A 19,876-nucleotide genomic window follows, 5' to 3' on the forward strand; every position below is an offset into this window, starting at 1 on the left:
TCTAGATACTGTTTATTTATTTACATTGCCAAATTGTCCCAGCTACCACTGTTATCAAGTAAAAGGGACTCACTGCCCAAAGCACAAGAAGCCAGTACCATGACACTGGGTTTTCGAGAAAGGAAAAAGTTTAAAGTCAAACCAAAACCTAGGGTAGAGGCCGGGCGCAGTGGCTCATGCCTGTAATCCCAGCACTTTGGGAGGCCAAGGCGGGCGGATGATAGGGTCAGGAGATTGAGTCCATCTTGGCTAACACGGTGAAACCCCGTCTCTACTAAAAATACAAAAAACAAAAATAAGACGGGCGTGAAGGCGGGCGCCTGTAGTCCCAGCTACTTGGGAGGCTGAGGCAGGAGAATGGCGTGAACCCAGGAGGCGGAGCTTGCAGTGAGCCAAGATCGCGTCACTGCACTCCAGCCTGGGAAACAGAGTGAGACTCCATTTAAAAAAAAAAAACCTATGGAATACAGTAAAAACAGTACTACAGTACTAAGAGGTAAGTTTATAGAAAAAATCACCTACATCAAAAAAAGTAGAAAAGCTTCAAATAAACAACCTAATAATGCATCTTAAATAATTAGAAAAGCAAGAACAAACCAAAACCAAAATTAGTAGAAGGAAACATAGCAAAGGTTGGAGCAGAAATAAATGAAATTGAAATTTAGCAATATAAAATATCAATGAAATGAAAAGTTAATATTTTTAAAAGACCAACAAAATCAATAAACATTTAACCAGACTAAGAAAAAAGAGAGAAGATTCCAATACATAAAACCAGAGATTGAAAAGGAGACACTATAACTGATACTGTGGAAATTCAAAGAATCATTAGAAACTATTATGACTGACTATATTCCAATAAATTGAAAAACCTGGAAGAAATGGCTGGGCACCGTGGCTCATGCCTGTAATCCCAACACTTTGGGAAGCCAAGGCAGGTGATCACCTGAGGTCAGGAGTTCAAGACCAGCCTGGCCAACATGGTGAAACCCCATCTCTACTACAAATACAAAAATTAGCCAGGTATGTTGGCATGCACCTGTACTTCCAGCTACTCCAGAGGCTGAGGCAGGAAAATCACTTGAACCTGGGAGGCAGAGGCTGTAGTGAGCTGAGATTGTACCACGAAGCAGCCTGGGTGACAGAGCAAGATTCCATCTCAAAAAAATAAACCTAGAAGAAATGGATAAATGAAATTGAAGCCATAATAAAACATCTCCTAGCAAAGAAAAGCCTGGATTCAATGGCTTCACTGGCTTCATGGATTAATTTTACCAAACATTGAAGGCAGAATTACTATCAATCCTACCCAAACTATCCCAAAAAACAGAGAAGGCTGTAGTATTTCCAAACACATCCTATGAAAAAGACAATTCATCACGTCTAAGTGAGATTTATCCCGATGATGCCAACATGGTTCAACATATGCAAATCACTCAATGTGACACATCATATCAACAGAATGAAGGACAAAAACCATATGATAATTTCAATAGATACAGAAAAGCATTTAATAAAATTCAACATCCCTGTGATAAAAAGAAACCCTCAAAAAAAAACTAGATATAGAAGGAACATAACACAACACAATAAAAACCAAATGCATCAGACCCACAGCCAGTATCATCCTGAACAGGGAAAAGCTGAAAGCCTTTCTTCTAAGTTATGGAACAAGACAAGAATGTCCACTTCCAACACTGTTACTCAACACAGTACAGGAAGTCCTAGCTAGAGCAATTCAGACAAGAGAAAAACAATAAAAGGGATGCACATTGGAAAGAAGTAAAATTATTAATGTTTTATTGTTTGCAGATGACTTGATCTTATATTTGGAAAAACGTAAGGACTCCACCAAAAAACTATTAGAACTAATCAACAAATTCACAGTCACAACATAAAAAATCAAGCTACAAAAGTGAGTAGCATTTCTAAATGAAAAAAATGAACAATCTAAAGAAGAAAATCAAGAATGTAATCCCATTTACAATAGCGACAAATAAAATAAAATAACTGGGAATAAACATAACAGAAGAAGTGAAAGATCTCTACAATGAAAAGTATAAAATATCGATGCAAAAAATTAAAGAGGACACAAAAAAACTAGAAAGATTGTCCATGTTCATTTATTGGAAGAGTAAATATTATTAAAATACCCATACTTCACAAAGCAATCTACAGATTCAATGCAATCCTTATTGAAATACTAATAACACACTTCAGAGAAATGGAAACAAAATCCTAAAATTTATAGGAAACCATAAGAATGGAATGGAACGGAATGGAATCAACCCGAATGGAAAGGATTGGAATGGAAAGGAATGGAATGGAATTCAATGGAATGGAATCAAATGGAAAGGAATGGAATGGATGGAATGGAATGGAATGGAATGGAATGGAATTGAATGGAATGGATTGGAATGGAATGGAATGGAATCAACCCGAGAGGAATGGATTGGAATGGAATGGAGTTATCCCGAGTGGAATGGAATGGAATGGAATCATCCGAGTAGAATGGAATGGAAGGGAATGCAATGGCATGGAATGGAATAGAATTAACCCGAGTGGCAAGGAATGGAATGGAATGAAATAGAATTGAACAGAATGGAATCAACCCGATTGAAATGGAATGGAATGGAATGGAATGGAATGGAATGGAATGGTAGGGAATGGAATAGAATGGAATGGAATCAACTCGAGTGGAAAGGAATGGAATGGAAAAGAATGGAATGTAATAGAAAAGAATGGAATGCAATGGAATGCAATGGCATGGAATGAAGTCAACCCGAGTGGAAAGGAATGGAATGGAATGGAATGGAACGGAATCAACCTGAGTGGAATGGAATGGAATGGAATGAATGGAATGGAATTTATTGGAAACTAATGGAATGGAAAGGAAACAAACCGAGTGGAATGGAATGCAATGAATTTCAATGGAATGGAATGGAATGGAATGGAATGGAATGGAAGGGAATGGAATGGAATGGAATGCAATTCAACGTAATAGAAACAAACCAAGTGGAATGGAATGGAATGGAAAAGACTGGAATGAAATGGAATGGATTGGAATCAATCCGATTCCAATGCAACGGAATAGAATTGAATGGAATGGAATGGAAGGGAATGGAATGGAATGGAAGGGAATGGAATGGAATGGAAAGGAATGGAATGAACTGGAATGCAATGGAATGGAATGGAATGGAATTTAATTGAACGGAATGGAATAGAATGGAATGGAATGAAATCAACCCGAGTGGAGTGCAATGGAAGGGAATGGAAATGAATGGAATGGAATGGAATGGAACGGAATGGAATGAACACGAGTGTAAGGGAATGGAATGGAACGGAATAGAATGGAATAGAATGGAATCAACCCGAGTGGAGTGCAATGGAAGGGAATGGAAATGAATGGAATGGAATGGAACGGAATGGAATGGAATGAACACGAGTGTAAGGGAATGGAATGGAACGGAATAGAATGGAAAGGAACGGGAAAGAATGGAATGGAATGGAATGAACACGAGTGGAATGGAATGGAGAGGAATGGAATGGAATTGAATTGAATGGAATGGAATGGAGTGGAATGGAATGGAATGGAATGGAATGAAATGGAATGGAATGGAACGGAATCAACCCAAATGGAATGGAATGGAATGGAATGGAATGGAATGGAATGGAATGGAATGGAAAGGAATGGAATGGAATCAACACGAGTGGAATGGAATGGAATGGAAAGGAACGGAATGCAATGGAATGGAATGTTATGGAATCCACCCGAGTGGAATGGTATGGAATGGAATGGAATGGAAAGGAATAAAATGGATTGGAATGGAATGGTATCAAACCGAGTGGAATGGAATGGAATGGAATGGAATGGAATGGAATCAACCGGAGTGGAACGGAATGGAATGGAATGGAATGGAATGGAATGGAATCAACCCGATTGGAATGGAAAGGAATAGAATGGAATGGAATGGAATGGAATGCAATGGAATCAACTGTAATGGAATAGAATGGAATGGAACGGAAAGAATGGAATCAACATGAATGGAATGGAAAAGAATGGAATGGAATGGAAAAGAAATGAATGGAATGGAAACAACCCGAGTGTAATAGAATGAAAAGGAATGGAATGGAATGGAATGGAAAGCAATGGAATTCAAAGGAATGGAATTAACTCGAGTGGAATAGAATGGAATGGACTGGAATGGAATGGAATGGATTGGAATAGAAAGAAATTCAACGGAATGGAATCAACCAGAATGGAATGGAATGGAATGGAATGGAATGGAATGGAATGGAATGCAGTGGAATGGTATGGAAAGGAATGGAATGGAAAGGAATCAACCCGAAGGGAATGGAATGGAATGGAATGGAATGGAATGGAATGGAATGGAATGGAATGGAATCAACCCGAGTGGAATGCAATGGAATGAAATGGAATGGAATGGAATGGAACGGAACAGAACGGAACTGAATGGAATGGAATCAACACAAGTGGAAAGGAACGGAATGGAATGGAATGGAATGGAATGGAAGGGAATGGAATAGCATGCAATCAATTTGGTGGAATGGTATGGAATGGAATGGAATGGAATGGAATAAAAGGGAATGGAATGGAATGGAATCAAGCCGAGATGAATGGAATGGAATGGAATGGAATGGAATGGAACGGAATGGAATGGAATGGAATGGAATGGAAATGAATAAAACCGAGTGGAATGGAATGGAATGGAATGGAATGGAAACAATGCAATGCAATGGTATCAACTGGAATGGAAAGAATTGGAATGGAAAGGAATGGAATCACCCTGAGTGGAATGGAATGGAAAGCAATGAAATGGAATGGAAACTAATAGAAAGGAATGGAAACAACCCGAGTGGAATGGAATGTAATGGAATGTAATGGAATGGAATGGAATGGAATGCAATGGAATGGAATGCAATGGAATGGAATGGAATGGAATGGAATGCAATGGAATGGAAAGGAATGGAATGGAATACAACAAAATGGAAACAACCTGAGTGGAATGGCATGGAATGGAAAGGACTTGAATATAATGGAATGGATTGGAATCAACCCGATTAGAAACTAATGGAAAGGAGTGGAATGGAATGGAATGGAATGGAATGGAATGGAATGGAATCTACCCGAGTGGAATGGAATGGAATGGAATTTAATGGAATGGAATGGAATGGAATTTAATGGAATGGAATGGAATGGAATGGAATGGAATCAACCCGAGTGGAATGGAATGGAATGGAAAGGAATGAATGGAATTGAATGGAATGGAATTGAATGGAATGGAACGGAACGGAACGGAATGGAATGGAATGGAGTGGAATGGAATGGAATGGAATGGAATGGAACGGAATTAACTGCAGTGGAATAGAATGTAAAGGAATGCAGTGGAATGGAATGGAACGGAATGGAATGGAATGGAATCAACCCGAGTGGAATGGAATGGAATGGAATGCAATGGAATGGAATGGTATGGAATCAACCCTAGTGGAATGATATGGAATGGAATGGAACGGAATGGAACGGAATGGATTCAACCCGAATGGAATGGAACGGAAAAAGTGTAATGGTATGGAATGGAATGGAATGGAAAGGAATCAACGCGAATGGTATGGAATAGAATGGAATGGAATGGAACGGAATCAACCCTAGTGGAATGCAATGGAATGAAATGGAATGGAATGGAACGGAATGGAACGGAACGGAACGGAATTGAAAGGAATGGAATCAACCCGAGTGGAAAGGAATGGAATGGAATGGAATGGAATGGAATGGAATGGAATGGAATGGAATGGAATGAAATGGAATAACATGCAATCAACTTTGGTGGAATGGTATGGAATGGGATGGAATGGAATGGAATGGAATGGAACGGAATGGAATAAAAGCTCATGGAATGGAACGGAATCAACCCGAATGGAATGGAACAGAATGGAGTGGAATGGTATGGAATGGAATGGAATGTAAAGGAATCAACTCGAAGGGTATGGAATGGAATGGAATGGAGTGCAATGGAATGGAAGGGAATGGAATCAACACGAGTGGAATGCAATGGAATGAAATGGAATGGAAAGGAATGGAACGGAATTGAATGGAATGAAATCAACCCGAGTGGAAAGGAATGGAATGGAATGGAATGGAATGGAATGGAATGGAATGGAATCAACCCGAGTGGAATGGAATGGAATGGAATGCAATGGAATGGAATGGTATGGAATCAACCCGAGTGGAATTGTATGGAATGGAATGGAACGGAATGGAACGGAATGGAATCAACTCGAATGGAATGGAACGGAATAGAGTGGAATGGTATGGAATGGAATGGAATGGAAAGGAATCAACCTGAAGGGTATGGAATAGAATGGAATGGAATCAACCCGAGTGGAATGCAATGGAATGAAATGGAATGGAATGGAATGGAACGGAAAGGAACGGAATTGAATGGAATGGAATCAACACGAGTGGAAAGGAATGGAATGGAATGGAATGGAATGGAATGGAATGGAATGGAATGGAATTGAATGGAATGGAATGGAATGGAATGGAATGGAATGGAATGGAATTGAATGGAATGGAATAACATGCAATCAACTTTGATGGAATGGTATGGAATGGAATGGAATCGAATGGAATACAACAAAATAGAAAGAGCTCGAGTGGAATGGCATGGAATGGAAAGGACGTGAATATAATGGAATGGATTGGAATCAACCCGATAAGAAACTAATGGAATGGAATGGAATGGAATGCAATGGAATGGAATGGAATGGAACGATACGGAATGGAATAGAAAGGAATGGAATCAACTCGAGTGGAAAGGAATGGAATAGAAAAGAATGGAATGTAATAGAAAGGAATGGAATGCAATGGAATGCAATGACATGGAATGTAGTCAACCCGTGTGGAATGGAATGGAATGGAACGGAAGGGAAAACAGGAATGGAATGGAATCGAATGAAATTAACCCTAGTGGAATAGAATGGAATGGAATGGAATGGAATGGAGTGGAATCAACTGGAATGGAAGGAAATGCAATGGAATGGAATGGAATCGAATGCAATGGAATGGAATGGAATCAACCCGAGTGGAATGCAATGGAAAGTAATTGAATGGAATGGAATAGAATGGAATGGAATCAACCCAAGTGGAATGGATTCGAATGGAGTGGAATGGAATGGAACAGCACGGAATGCAATGGAATCAACTAGAATGGAATGGAATGGAATGGAATGGAACGGAATCAACCTGAGTGGAATGGAATGGAATGGAATGAATGGAATGGAATTTATTGGAAACTAATGGAATGGAAAGGAAACAAACCGAGTGGAATGAAATGCAATGAATTTCAATGGAATGGAATGGAATGGAATGGAATGGAATGCAATTCAACGTAATGGAAACTAACCGAGTGGAATGGAATGGAATGAAAAAGACTGGAATGTAATGGAATGGATTGGAATCAACCCGATTCCAATGCAACGGAATAGTATTGAATGGAATGGAATGGAAGGGAATGGAATGGAATGGAATGGAAGGGAATGGAATGGAGTGGAAACGAATGGAATGAACTGGAATGCAATGGAATGGAATGGAATGGAATTTAATTGAACGGAATGGAATAGAATGGAATGGAATGGAATCAACCCGAGTGGAGTGCAATGGAAAGGAATGGAAATGAATGGAATGGAATGCAAAGGAACGGAATGGAATGAACACGAGTGTGAGGGAATGGAATGGAACGGAATAGAATGCAAAGTAACGGGATAGAATGGAATGGAATGGAATGGAATGAACACAAGTGGAATGGAATGGAGTGGAATGGAATGGAATTGAATTGAATGGAATGGAATGGAGCGGAATGGAATGGGATGGAATGGAATGGAAAGGAATCAACCTGAATGGAATGGAATGGAATGGAATGGGATGGAATGGAATTAAGCCGTGTGGAATGGAAAGGTATGGAATGGAATGGAATGGAATAAAATGGATCGGAATGGAATGGAATCAACCCGAGTGAAATGGAATGGAAAGCAATGGAATGGAATGAACCCGAGTGGAATGGAATGGAATGGAATGGAATGGAATGGAATGGAATGGAATCAACCAGAGTGGAATGGAGTGGAATGGAATGCAATGGAATGGAATGGAATGGAAGACATTGGAATCAACTGGAATGGAATGGAACGGAATGCAATGGAAAAGAAAGGAATCAATCTGGGTGGAATGGAATGGAATGGAATGGAGTGGAATGGAATGGAATGGAGTGTAATGGAATGGAATGGAGTGGAATGGAATGGAATGAAATGGAATGGAATGGAACGGACTCAACCGGAATGGAATGTAATGGAATGGAATGGAAAGGAATGGAATGGAATCAACACGAGTGGAATGGATTGGAATGGAAAGGAATGGAATGGAATGGAATGGAATGTTATGGAATCCACCCGAGTGGAATGGAATGGAATGGAAAGGAATGGAATGGAAAGGAATAAAATGGATTGGAATGGAATGGCATCAACCCGAGTGAAATGGAATGGAATGGAATGGAATGGAATGGAATGGAATGGAATGGAATGGAATGGAATCAACCCGAGTGGAACGGAATGGAATGGAACGAAATGGAATTGAATGGAATTAACCCGAGTGGAATGGAAAGGAATAGAATGGAATGGAATGGAATGGAATGGAATGCAATGGAATCAACTGGAATGGAATGGAATGGAATGGAATGCAATGGAATGGAAAGAATGGAATCAACATGAGTGGAATGGAAAGGAATGGAATGGAATGTAAAAGAAATGAATGGAATGGAAACAACCCGAGTGTAATAGAAAGAAAATTAATGGAATGGAATGGAATGGAAAGCAATGGAATGGAATGGAATGGAATGGATTGGAATGGAAAGAAATTCAACGGAATGGAATCAACCAGAATGGAATGGAATGGAATGGAGTGGAATGGTATGGAATGCAATGGAATGGAAAGGAATCAACCCGAAGGGTATGGAATGGAATGGAATGGAATGGAATGGAATGGAATGGAATGGAATTGAATCAACCCGAGTGGAATGCAATGGAATGAAATGGAATGGAATGGAATGGAATGGAACAGAACGGAATGGAACGGAACAGAATTGAATGGAATGGAATCAACCCAAGTGGAAATGAATGGAATGGAATGGAATGGAATGGAATGGAATGGAATGGAAAGGAATAGCATGCAATCTACTTTGGTGGAATGGTATGGAATGGAATGGAATGGAATGGAATGGAATGGAATGCAATCAACTGGAATGGAAGGAAATGGAATGGAATGGAATGCAATGCAATGGAATGGAATGGAATCAACCCGAGTGGAATGCAATGGAATGGAATTGAAAGGAATGGAATGGAATGGAATCAACCCAAGTGGAATGCATTCGAATGGAGTGGAATGGAATGGAACACCACGGAATGCAATGGAATCAACTAGAATGGAATGGAATGGAATGGAATGGAAAGGAATCAACCTGAGTGGAATGGAATGGAATGGAATGAATGGAATGGAATTTATTGGAAAATAATGGAATGGAAAGGAAACAAACCGAGTGGAATGGAATGCAATGAATTTCAATGGAATGGAATGGAATGGAATGCAATTCAACGAAATGGAAACAAACCGAATGGAATGGAATGGAATGGAAAAGACTGGAATGTAATGGAATGGATTGGAATCAACCCGATTCCAATGCAACGGAATTGAATTGAATGGAATGGAATGGAAGGGAATGGAATGGAATGGAAGGGAATGGAATGGAATGGAAAGGAATGGAATGAACTGGAATGCAATGGAATGGAATGGAATGGAATTTCATTGAACGGAATGGCATAGAATGGAATGGAATGGAATCAACCCGAGTGGAGTGCAATGGAAAGGAATGGAAATGAATGGAATGGAATGGAGTGGAATGGAATGGAATGGAGTGGAATGGAATGGAATGGAGTGTAATGGAATGGAATGGAATGGAATGAAATGGAATGGAATGGAACTGAATCAACCCGAATGGAATGGAATGGTATGGAATGGAAAGGAATGGAATGGAATCAACACGAGTGGAATGGAATGGAATGGAATGGAATGGAATGGAATGGAATGGAATGTTATGGAATCCACCCGAGTGGAATGGAACGGAATGGAAAGGAATGGAATGGAAAGGAATAAAATGGATTGCAATGGAATGGCATCACCCGAGTGAAATGGAATGGAATGGAATGGAATGGAATGGAATGGAATGGAATGGAATCAACCCGAGTGGAATGGAAAGGAATACAACGGAATGGAATGGAATGGAATGCAATGGAATCAACTGGAGTGGAATGGAATGGAATGGAATGGAATGGAATGGAATGGAAAGAATGGAATCAACATGAGTGGAATGGAAAAGGATGGAATGGAATGGAAAAGAAATGAATGGAAAGGAAACAACCCAAGTGTAATAGAATGAAAAGGAATGGAATGGAATGGAATGGAAAGCAATGGAATTCAAAGGAATGGAATTAACTCGAGTGGAATAGAATGGAATGGAATGGAATGGAAAGGAATGGATTGTAATGGCAAGAAATTCAACGGAATGGAATCAACCAGAATGGAATGGAATGGAGTGGAATTGTATGGAATGGAATGGAATGGAAAGGAATCAACCCGAAGGGAATGGAATGGAATGGAATGGAATGGAATGGAATGGAATCAACCCGAGTGGAATGCAATGGAATGAAATGCAATGGAATGGAAAGGAACGGAACGGAACAGAACGGAACTGAATGGGATGGAATCAACCCAAGTGGAAAGGAACGGAATGGAATGGAATGGAATGGAATGGAATGGAATGGAAATGAATAAAACGGAGTGGAATGGAATGGAATGGAATGGAATGGAAACAATGCAATGCAATGGTATCAACTGGAATGGAAAGAATTGGAATGGAAAGGAATGGAATCACCCTGAGTGGAATGGAATGGAAAGGAATGGAATGGAATGGAAACTAATGGAACGGAGTGGAAACAACCCGAGTGGAATGCAATGGAATGGAATGGAATGGAATGGAATGGAATGGAATGGAATGGAATGGAATACAACAAAATGGAAAGAACCCGAGTGGAATGGCATGGAATGGAAAGGACTTGAATATAATGGAATGGATTAGAATCAACCCGATTAGAAACTAATGGAAAGGAGTGGAATGGAATGGAATGGAATGGAATGGAATGGAATGGAATCTACCCGAGTGGAATGGAATGGAATGGAATTTAATGGAATGGAATGGAATGGAATGGAATGGAATCAACCCGAGTGGAATGGAATGGAATGGAAAGGAATGAATGGAATGGAATGGAATGGAATGGAATGGAATTTAATGGAATGGATCGGAACGGAACGGAATGGAATGGAATGGAATGGAACCCAATGGAATGGAATGGATTGCAATGGAATGGAACGGAATTAACTGGAGTGGAATGGAATGTAATGGAATGCAGTGGAATGGAATGGAACGGAATGGAATGGAATGGAATCAACCTGAGTGGAATGGAATGGAATGGAATGCAATGGAATGGAATGGTATGGAATCAACCCTAGTGGAATGGTATGGAATGGAATGGAATGGAATGGAACGGAATGGACTTAACCCGAATGGAATGGAACGGAATGGAGTGGAATGGTATGGAATGGAATGGAATGGAAAGGAATCAACCCGAATGGTATGGAATAGAATGGAATGGAATGGAATAAAAGGTCATGGAATGGAACGGAATCAACCCGAATGGAATGGAACGGAATGGATTGGAATGGTGTGGAATGGAATGGAATGGAAAGGAATCAACTCGAAGGCTATGGAATGGAATGGAATGGAATGCAATGGAATGGAATGGAATCAACATGAGTGGAATGCAATGGAATGAAATGGAATGGAATGGAACGGAATGGAACGGAACGGAATTGAATGGAATGAAATCAACCCGAGTGGAAAGGAATGGAATGGAATGGAATGGAATGGAATGGAATCAACCCGAGTGGAATGGAATGGAATGGAATGCAATGGAATGGAATGGTATGGAATCAACCATAGTGGAATGGTATGGAATGGAATGGAACGGAATGGAACGGAAGGGAATCAACCCGAATGGAATGGAACGGAATGGAGTGGAATGGTATGGAATGGAATGGAATGGAAAGGAATCAACCCTAAGTGTATGGAATAGAATGCAATGGAATGGAATGGAATCAACCCGAGTGGAAAGCCATGGAATGAAATGGAATGGAATGGAACGGAACGGAACGGAATTGAAAGGAATGGAATCAACCCGAGTGGAAAGGAATGGAATGGAATGGAATGGAATGGAATGAAATGGAATAACATGCAATCAACTTTGGTGGAATGGTATGGAATGGAATGGAATGGAATGGAATGGAATGGAATGGAATGGAATAAAAGGTCATGGAATGGAATGGAATCAACCCGAATGGAATGGAACGGAATGGAGTGGAATGGTATGGAATGGAATGGAATGGAATGGAATGGAATAAAAGGTCATGGAATGGAATGGAATCAACCCGAATGGAATGGAACGGAATGGAGTGGAATGGTATGGAATGGAATGGAATGGAAAGGAATCAACTCGAAGGGTATGGAATGGAATGGAATCAACACGAGTGGAAAGCAAACGAATGAAATGGAATGGAATGGATCGGAATGGAGCGGAATGGAAATGAGTGGAATGAAATCAACCCGAGTGGAATGGAATGGAATGGAATGGAATGGAATGGAATGGAATGGAATGGAATGGATTGGAATAACATGAAATCAACTTTGGTGGAATGGTATGGAAGGGAATGGAATGGAATGGAAAGGAATAAAAGGGCAAGGAATGGAACGGAATCAACCCGAATGGAATGGAACGGAATGGAGTGAAATGGTATGGAATGGAATGGAAAAGAATCAACCCGAATGGAATGGAATGGAATGGATTGGAATGGAATGGAATGGAATGGAATGGAATGGAATAAACCCGAGTGGAATGCAATGGAATGAAATGGAATTGAATGGAATGGAACGGAAAGGAAGGGAATTGAATGGAATGGAATCAACCCGAGTGGAAACGAAGGGAGTGGAATGGAATGGAATGGAATGGAATGGAATGGAATAACATGCAATGAACTTTGATGGAATGGTATGGAATGGGATGGAATGGAATGGAAAGGAAAGGAATGGAATGGAATGGAATGGAATGGAATGGAGTCCAACAAAATGGAAAGAACTCGAGTGGAATGGCATGGAATGGAAAGGACTTGAATATAATGGAATGGATTGGAATCAACCACATTAGAAACTAATGGAATGGAATGGAATGGAATGGAATGGAATGGAATGGAATGGAATCTACCCGAGTGGAACGGAATGGAATGGAATTTAATGGAATGGAATGGAATGGAATGGAATAAAATGGAATGCAATGGAATGGAAAAATCCGAGTGGAATGGAACAGAATTGAATGGTATAACCGGAGAGGAATGGAATGGAATGGAGTGGAATGGAATAGAATGGAATGGAATGGAATGGAATGGAATGGAATGGAATAGAATGGAATGGAATGGAATGGAATGGAATGGAATGGAATGGAATGGAATAGAATGAAATGGAAAGGAATGGAATGGAAACAACCCGAGTGGAATGGAATGGAATGGAATGGAAAGGAATGGAATGGAACAGTACGGAATGAAATGCAATGGAATAGATTGAATGCGAGTGGATTTGAATGGAATGGAATGGATTGGAATGGAATGGAATGGATTGGAGTGGAATGGAATGGAATCAATACGAATGGAATGGAACGGAATGGAATGGAATGGAATGGAATGGAAAGGAATGGAATGGAATCAACCGGAGTGGAATGGAATTGAATGGAATGGAATCCACCTGATAGGAATGAAGTGGAATGTAATCCAATGGAACGGAGTGGAATCAACTCGAGTGGAATGGAATGGAAAGGAACGGAATCGAATCCAATGGATTCAACTGGAAAGCAATGCAATGAATTTAAATGGAATGGAATGGAATGGAATGGAATCATCCGAGTGGAATGGAATGGAATGGAATGGAATAGAATTGAATGGAATGGAATCAACCCGATTGGAATGGAATGGAATAGAATTGAATGGAATGGAATCAACCCGATTGGAATGGAATGGAATAGAATTGAATGGAATGGAATCAACCCGATTGAAATGGAATGGAATGGAATGGAATGGATCGGTACGGAATGCAATAGAATGTAATGGAATCAACTCGAGTGGAAAGGAATGGAATAGAAAAGAATGGAATGTAATAGAAACGAATGGAATGCAATGGAATGCAATGGCATGGAATGTAGTCAACCCGAGTGGAATGGAATGGAATGGAATGGAAGGGAAAACAGGAATGGAATGGAATCGAATGAAATTAACCCTAGTGGAATAGAATGGAATGGAATGGAATGGAATGGAATGGAATCAACTGGAATGGAAGGAAATGCAATGCAATGGAATGGAATGGAATGCAATGGAATGGAATGGAATCAACCCGAGTGGAACGCAATGGAAGGTAATTGAATGGAATGGAATGGAATGGAATCAACCCAAGTGGAATGGATTCGAATGGAGTGGAATGGAATGGAACAGCACGGAAAGCAATGGAATCAACTAGAATGGAATGGAATGGAATGGAATGGAACGGAATCAACCTGAGTGGAATGGAATGGAATGGAATGAAAGGAATGGAATTTATTGGAAACTAATGGAATGGAAAGGAAACAAACCGAGTGGAATGAAATGCAATGAATTTCAGTGGAATGGAATGGAATGGAATGGAATGGAATACAATTCAACGTAATGGAAACAAACCGAGTGGAATGGAATGGAATGGAAAAGACTGGAATGTAATGGAATGGATTGGAATCAACCCGATTCCAATGCAACGGAATAGAATTGAATGGAATGGAATGGAAGGGAATGGAATAGAATGGAAAAGAATGGAATAGAATGGAAAAGAATGGAATGAACTGGAATGCAATGGAATGGAATGGAATGGAATTTAGTTGAACGGAATGGAATAGAATGGAATGGAATGGAATCAACCCAAGTGGAGTGCAATGGAAAGGAATGGAAATGAATGGAATGGAATGGAACGGAACGGAATGGAATGAACACGAGTGTAAGGGAGTGGAATGCAACGGAATAGAATGGAAAGGAACGGGAAAGAATGGAATGGAATGGAATGAAAACGAGTGGATTGGAATGGAGTGGAATTGAATTGAATGGAATGGAATGGAGTGGAATGGAATGGAATGGAATGGAGTGTAATGGAATGGAATGGAATGGAACGGAATCAACCCAAATGGAAAGGAATGGAATGGAATGGAATGGAAAGGAATGGAATGGAAACAACACGAGTGGAATGGAATGGAATGGAAAGGAACGGAATGCAATGGAATGGAATGTTATGGAATCCACTCCAGTGGAATGGTATGGAATGGAATGGAATGGAAAGGAATAAAATGGATTGGAATGGAATGGCATCAACCCGAGTGCAATGGAATGGAAGGGAATGGAATGGAATGGAATGGAATGGAATGGAATGGAATGGAATGGAATCAACCCGAGTGGAACAGAAAGGAATAGAACGGAATGGAATGGAATGGAATGCAATGGAATCAACTGGAATGGAATGGAATGGAATGGAATGGAATGGAATGGATTGGAAAGAATGGAATCAACATGAGTGGAATGGAAAAGAATGGAATGGAATGGAATGGAAAAGAAATGAATGGAATGGAAACAACCCGAGTGTAATAGAATGAAAAGGAATGGAATGGAAAGGAATGGAAAGCAATGGAATTCAAAGGAATGGAATTAACTCGAGTGGAATAGAATGGAATGGAATGGAATGGAATGGAATGGAATGGAATGGAATGGAATGGAATGCAATGGATTGGAATGGAAAGAAATTCAACAGAATGGAATCAACCAGAATGGAATGGAATGGAATGGAATGGAGTGGAATGGTATGGAATGGAATGGAATGGAAAGGAATCAACCCGAAGGGTATGGAATGGAATGGAATGGAATGGAATGGAATGGAATGCAATGGAATGAAATGGAATGGAATGGAATGGAAAGGAACGGAACGGAACAGAACAGAACTGAATGGAATGGAATCAACCCAAGTGGAAAGGAACGGAATGGAATGGAATGGAATGGAATGGAATGGAATAGCATGCAATCAACTTTGGTGGAATGGTATGGAATGGAATGGAATGGAATGGAATAAAAGGGAATGAAATGGAATGGAATCAACCCGACATGAATGGAATGGAATGGAATGGAATGGAATGGAATGGAATGGAATAGCATGCAATCAACTTTGGTGGAATGGTATGGAATGGAATGGAATGGAATGGAATGGAATAAAAGGGAATGAAATGGAATGGAATCAACCCGACATGAATGGAATGGAATGGAATGGAATGGAATGGAATGGAATGGAATGGAATGGAAATGAATAAAACCGAGTGGAATGGAATGGAATGGAAACAATGCAATGCAATGGTATCAACTGGAATGGAAAGAATTGGAATGGAAAGCAATGGAATCACCCTGAGTGGAATGGAATGGAAAGGAATGGAATGGAATGGAAATTAATGGAACGGAAAGGAAACAACACGAGTGGAATGGAATGCAATGGAATGGAATGGAATGGAATTGAATGGAATGGAATGGAATGGAAATGAATAAAACCGAGTGGAATGGAATGGAATGGAATGGAATGGAAACAATGCAATGCAATGGTATCAACAGGAATGGAAAGAATTGGAATGGAAAGGAATGGAATCACCCTGAGTGGAATGGAATGGAAAGGAATGGAATGGAATGGAAACTAATGCAACGGAAAGGAAACAACCCGAGTGGAATGGAATGCAATGGAATGGAATGGAATGGAATGGAATGGAAGGGAATGCAATGGAATGGAATGGAATGGAATGGAATACAACAAAAAGGAAACAACCCGAGTGGAATGGCATGGAATGGAAAGGACTTGAATATAATGGAATGTATTGGAATCAACCCGATTAGCAACTAATGGAAAGGAGTGGAATGGAATGGAATGGAAAGGAATGGAATGGAATGGAATCTACCCGAGTGTAATGGAATGGAATGGAATTTAATGGAATGGAATGGAATGGAATGGAATGGAATGGAATCAACCCGAGTGGAATGGAATGGAATGGAAAGGAATGAATGGAATGGAATGGAATGGAATGGAATGGAATGGAATGGAATGGATAGGAACGGAACGGAATGGGATGGAATGGAATGGAATGGAATGGAATAGACCCCAATGGAATGGAATGGATTGGAATGGAAAGGAACGGAATTAACTGGAGTGGAATGGAATGTAATGGAATGCAGTGGAATGGAATGGAACGGAATGGAATGGAATGGAATCAACCCTAGTGGAAAGGTATGGAATGGAATGGAACGGAATGGAACGGAATGGAATTAACCAGAATGGAATGGAACGGAATGGAGTGGAATCGTACGGATTGGAATGGAATGGAAAGGAATCAACGCGGATGGTATGGAATAGAATGGAATGGAATGGAATGGAATCAACCCGAGTGGAATGCAATTGAATGAAATGGAATGGAATGGAACAGAACGGAACGGAATGGAACGGAATTGAAAGGAATGGACTCAACCAGAGTTGAAAGTAATGGAATGGAATGGAATGGAATGGAATGAAATGGAATAACATGCAATCAACTTTGGTGGAATGGTATGGTATGGAATGGAATGGAATGGAATGGAATGGAATGGAATGGAATGGAATAAAAGATCATGGAATGGAACGGAATCAACCCGAATGGAATGGAACGGAATGGAGTGGAATGGTACGGAATGGAATGGAATGGAAAGGAATCAAATCGAACGGTATGGAATGGAATGGAATGGAATGCAATGGAGTGGAATGGAATGGAATCAACACGAGTGGAATACAATGGAATGAAATGGAATGGAATGGAACGGAATGGAATGGAACGGAATTGAATGGAATGAAATCAACCCGAGTGGAAAGGAATGGAACGGAAAGGAATGGAATGGAATAGAATCAACCCGAGTGGAATGGAATGGAATGGAATGCATGGAATGGAATGGTATGGAATCAACCCTAGTGGAATGGTATGGAATGGAATGGAACGGAATGGAACGGAATGGAATAAACCGGAATGGAATGGAACGGAATGGAGTGGAATGGTATGGAATGGAATGGAATGGAAAGGAATCAACCCGAAGGGTATGGAATAGAATGGAATGGAATGGAATGGAATCAACCCGAGTGGAATGCAATGGAATGAAATGCAATGGAATGGAACGGAACGGAACGGAACGGAATTGAAAGGAATGGAATCAACCCGAGAGGAAAGGAATGGAATGGAATGGAATGGAATGGAATGGAATGGAATGAAATGGAATAACATGCAATCAACTTTGGTGGAATGGTATGGAATGGAATGGAATGGAATGGAATGGAATGGAATGGAATGGAATAAAAGGTCATGGAATGGAACGGAATCAACCCGAATGGAATGGAACGGAATGGAGTGGAATGGTATGGAATGGAATGGAATGGAAAGGAATCAACACGAATGGAAAGCAATGGAATGAAATGGAATGGAATGGATCGGAATAGAACGGAACGAAATTGAAAGGAATGAAATCAACACGAGTGGAATGGAATGGAATGGAATGGAACGGAATGGAAGGGAACGGAACGGAATGGAATGGAATGGAATGGAATGGAATGGAATGGAATGGAATAACATGCAATCAACTTTGATGGAATGGTATGGAAGGGAATGGAATGGAATGGAATGGAATAAAAGGGCATGGAATGGAACGGAATCAACCCGAATGGTATGGAACGGAATGGAATAGAATGGTATGGAATGGAATTGAATGGAAAGGAATCAACCCGAAGGGAATGGAATGGAATGGAATGGAATGGAATCAACCCGAGTGGAATGCAATGGAATGAAATGGAATGGAATGGAATGGAACGGAAAGGAACGGAATTGAATGGAATGGGATCAACCCGAGTGGAAAGGAATGGAGTGGAATGGAATGGAATGGAATGGAATGGAATGGAATGGAATGGAATAGAATGGAATAACATGCAATCAACTTTGATGGAATGGTATGGAATGGAATGGAATGGAATGGAAAGGAATGGAATGGAATGGAATGGAATGGAATGGAATGGAATACAACAAAATGGAAAGAACTCGAGTGGAATTGCATGGAATGGAAAGGACTTGAATATAATGGAATTGATTGGAATCAACCACATTAGAAACTAATGGAATGGAATGGAATGGAATGGAATGGAATGGAATGTACCCGAGTGGAACAGAATGGAATGGAATTTAATGGAATGGAATGGAATGGAATGGAACAGAACGGAATGAAATTCAATGTAATAGATTGAATGCGAGTGGATTTGAATGGAATGGAATGCATTGGTGTGGAATGGAATGGAATCAACACGAATGGAATGGAACGGAACGGAATGGAATGGAATGGAATGGAATGGAAAGGAACGGAATGGAATCAACCGGAGTGGAATGGAATGGAATGGAATGGAATCCACCCGATAGGAATGAAATGGAATGTAATCTAATGGAACGGAGTGGAATCAACTCGAGTGGAATGGAATGGAATGGAACGGAATCGAATCCAATGGATTCAACTGGAATGCAATGAAATGAATTTCAATGGAATGGAATGGAA

General features: G+C 40.3%; 18 annotated features.

Moving 5' to 3' along the window:
- Positions 2,133–3,111: an enhancer, noted in NCBI's record as "OCT4-NANOG hESC enhancer chr4:49633186-49634164 (GRCh37/hg19 assembly coordinates)". NCBI's record gives its function as "activates a minimal SCP1, AML or CMV promoter by ChIP-STARR-seq in naive and primed H9 embryonic stem cells {active_cell/tissue: H9 hESC(naive and primed)}" and the evidence as "EXISTENCE:reporter gene assay evidence [ECO:0000049][PMID:30033119]".
- Positions 3,112–4,089: an enhancer, noted in NCBI's record as "OCT4-NANOG-H3K27ac-H3K4me1 hESC enhancer chr4:49634165-49635142 (GRCh37/hg19 assembly coordinates)". NCBI's record gives its function as "activates a minimal SCP1, AML or CMV promoter by ChIP-STARR-seq in naive and primed H9 embryonic stem cells {active_cell/tissue: H9 hESC(naive and primed)}" and the evidence as "EXISTENCE:reporter gene assay evidence [ECO:0000049][PMID:30033119]".
- Positions 4,090–5,067: an enhancer, noted in NCBI's record as "OCT4-NANOG-H3K27ac-H3K4me1 hESC enhancer chr4:49635143-49636120 (GRCh37/hg19 assembly coordinates)". NCBI's record gives its function as "activates a minimal SCP1, AML or CMV promoter by ChIP-STARR-seq in naive and primed H9 embryonic stem cells {active_cell/tissue: H9 hESC(naive and primed)}" and the evidence as "EXISTENCE:reporter gene assay evidence [ECO:0000049][PMID:30033119]".
- Positions 5,068–6,045: an enhancer, noted in NCBI's record as "OCT4-NANOG-H3K27ac-H3K4me1 hESC enhancer chr4:49636121-49637098 (GRCh37/hg19 assembly coordinates)". NCBI's record gives its function as "activates a minimal SCP1, AML or CMV promoter by ChIP-STARR-seq in naive and primed H9 embryonic stem cells {active_cell/tissue: H9 hESC(naive and primed)}" and the evidence as "EXISTENCE:reporter gene assay evidence [ECO:0000049][PMID:30033119]".
- Positions 6,046–7,023: an enhancer, noted in NCBI's record as "OCT4-NANOG-H3K27ac-H3K4me1 hESC enhancer chr4:49637099-49638076 (GRCh37/hg19 assembly coordinates)". NCBI's record gives its function as "activates a minimal SCP1, AML or CMV promoter by ChIP-STARR-seq in primed H9 embryonic stem cells {active_cell/tissue: H9 hESC(primed)}" and the evidence as "EXISTENCE:reporter gene assay evidence [ECO:0000049][PMID:30033119]".
- Positions 8,002–8,979: an enhancer, noted in NCBI's record as "OCT4-NANOG-H3K27ac-H3K4me1 hESC enhancer chr4:49639055-49640032 (GRCh37/hg19 assembly coordinates)". NCBI's record gives its function as "activates a minimal SCP1, AML or CMV promoter by ChIP-STARR-seq in naive and primed H9 embryonic stem cells {active_cell/tissue: H9 hESC(naive and primed)}" and the evidence as "EXISTENCE:reporter gene assay evidence [ECO:0000049][PMID:30033119]".
- Positions 8,980–9,957: an enhancer, noted in NCBI's record as "OCT4-NANOG-H3K27ac-H3K4me1 hESC enhancer chr4:49640033-49641010 (GRCh37/hg19 assembly coordinates)". NCBI's record gives its function as "activates a minimal SCP1, AML or CMV promoter by ChIP-STARR-seq in naive and primed H9 embryonic stem cells {active_cell/tissue: H9 hESC(naive and primed)}" and the evidence as "EXISTENCE:reporter gene assay evidence [ECO:0000049][PMID:30033119]".
- Positions 9,958–10,935: an enhancer, noted in NCBI's record as "OCT4-NANOG-H3K27ac-H3K4me1 hESC enhancer chr4:49641011-49641988 (GRCh37/hg19 assembly coordinates)". NCBI's record gives its function as "activates a minimal SCP1, AML or CMV promoter by ChIP-STARR-seq in naive and primed H9 embryonic stem cells {active_cell/tissue: H9 hESC(naive and primed)}" and the evidence as "EXISTENCE:reporter gene assay evidence [ECO:0000049][PMID:30033119]".
- Positions 10,936–11,913: an enhancer, noted in NCBI's record as "OCT4-NANOG-H3K27ac-H3K4me1 hESC enhancer chr4:49641989-49642966 (GRCh37/hg19 assembly coordinates)". NCBI's record gives its function as "activates a minimal SCP1, AML or CMV promoter by ChIP-STARR-seq in naive and primed H9 embryonic stem cells {active_cell/tissue: H9 hESC(naive and primed)}" and the evidence as "EXISTENCE:reporter gene assay evidence [ECO:0000049][PMID:30033119]".
- Positions 11,914–12,891: an enhancer, noted in NCBI's record as "OCT4-NANOG-H3K27ac-H3K4me1 hESC enhancer chr4:49642967-49643944 (GRCh37/hg19 assembly coordinates)". NCBI's record gives its function as "activates a minimal SCP1, AML or CMV promoter by ChIP-STARR-seq in naive and primed H9 embryonic stem cells {active_cell/tissue: H9 hESC(naive and primed)}" and the evidence as "EXISTENCE:reporter gene assay evidence [ECO:0000049][PMID:30033119]".
- Positions 12,892–13,869: an enhancer, noted in NCBI's record as "OCT4-NANOG-H3K27ac-H3K4me1 hESC enhancer chr4:49643945-49644922 (GRCh37/hg19 assembly coordinates)". NCBI's record gives its function as "activates a minimal SCP1, AML or CMV promoter by ChIP-STARR-seq in naive and primed H9 embryonic stem cells {active_cell/tissue: H9 hESC(naive and primed)}" and the evidence as "EXISTENCE:reporter gene assay evidence [ECO:0000049][PMID:30033119]".
- Positions 13,870–14,847: an enhancer, noted in NCBI's record as "OCT4-NANOG-H3K27ac-H3K4me1 hESC enhancer chr4:49644923-49645900 (GRCh37/hg19 assembly coordinates)". NCBI's record gives its function as "activates a minimal SCP1, AML or CMV promoter by ChIP-STARR-seq in naive and primed H9 embryonic stem cells {active_cell/tissue: H9 hESC(naive and primed)}" and the evidence as "EXISTENCE:reporter gene assay evidence [ECO:0000049][PMID:30033119]".
- Positions 14,848–15,825: an enhancer, noted in NCBI's record as "OCT4-NANOG-H3K27ac-H3K4me1 hESC enhancer chr4:49645901-49646878 (GRCh37/hg19 assembly coordinates)". NCBI's record gives its function as "activates a minimal SCP1, AML or CMV promoter by ChIP-STARR-seq in naive and primed H9 embryonic stem cells {active_cell/tissue: H9 hESC(naive and primed)}" and the evidence as "EXISTENCE:reporter gene assay evidence [ECO:0000049][PMID:30033119]".
- Positions 15,826–16,803: an enhancer, noted in NCBI's record as "OCT4-NANOG-H3K27ac-H3K4me1 hESC enhancer chr4:49646879-49647856 (GRCh37/hg19 assembly coordinates)". NCBI's record gives its function as "activates a minimal SCP1, AML or CMV promoter by ChIP-STARR-seq in naive H9 embryonic stem cells {active_cell/tissue: H9 hESC(naive)}" and the evidence as "EXISTENCE:reporter gene assay evidence [ECO:0000049][PMID:30033119]".
- Positions 16,804–17,781: an enhancer, noted in NCBI's record as "OCT4-NANOG-H3K27ac-H3K4me1 hESC enhancer chr4:49647857-49648834 (GRCh37/hg19 assembly coordinates)". NCBI's record gives its function as "activates a minimal SCP1, AML or CMV promoter by ChIP-STARR-seq in naive and primed H9 embryonic stem cells {active_cell/tissue: H9 hESC(naive and primed)}" and the evidence as "EXISTENCE:reporter gene assay evidence [ECO:0000049][PMID:30033119]".
- Positions 17,830–18,483: an enhancer, noted in NCBI's record as "OCT4-NANOG hESC enhancer chr4:49648883-49649536 (GRCh37/hg19 assembly coordinates)". NCBI's record gives its function as "activates a minimal SCP1, AML or CMV promoter by ChIP-STARR-seq in naive and primed H9 embryonic stem cells {active_cell/tissue: H9 hESC(naive and primed)}" and the evidence as "EXISTENCE:reporter gene assay evidence [ECO:0000049][PMID:30033119]".
- Positions 18,484–19,137: an enhancer, noted in NCBI's record as "OCT4-NANOG hESC enhancer chr4:49649537-49650190 (GRCh37/hg19 assembly coordinates)". NCBI's record gives its function as "activates a minimal SCP1, AML or CMV promoter by ChIP-STARR-seq in primed H9 embryonic stem cells {active_cell/tissue: H9 hESC(primed)}" and the evidence as "EXISTENCE:reporter gene assay evidence [ECO:0000049][PMID:30033119]".
- Positions 19,138–19,791: an enhancer, noted in NCBI's record as "OCT4-NANOG-H3K27ac hESC enhancer chr4:49650191-49650844 (GRCh37/hg19 assembly coordinates)". NCBI's record gives its function as "activates a minimal SCP1, AML or CMV promoter by ChIP-STARR-seq in primed H9 embryonic stem cells {active_cell/tissue: H9 hESC(primed)}" and the evidence as "EXISTENCE:reporter gene assay evidence [ECO:0000049][PMID:30033119]".

The sequence above is a fragment of the Homo sapiens genome, chromosome 4 (assembly GCF_000001405.40).
Source record: "Homo sapiens chromosome 4, GRCh38.p14 Primary Assembly".
NCBI classification, from domain to species: Eukaryota; Metazoa; Chordata; class Mammalia; order Primates; family Hominidae; genus Homo; species Homo sapiens.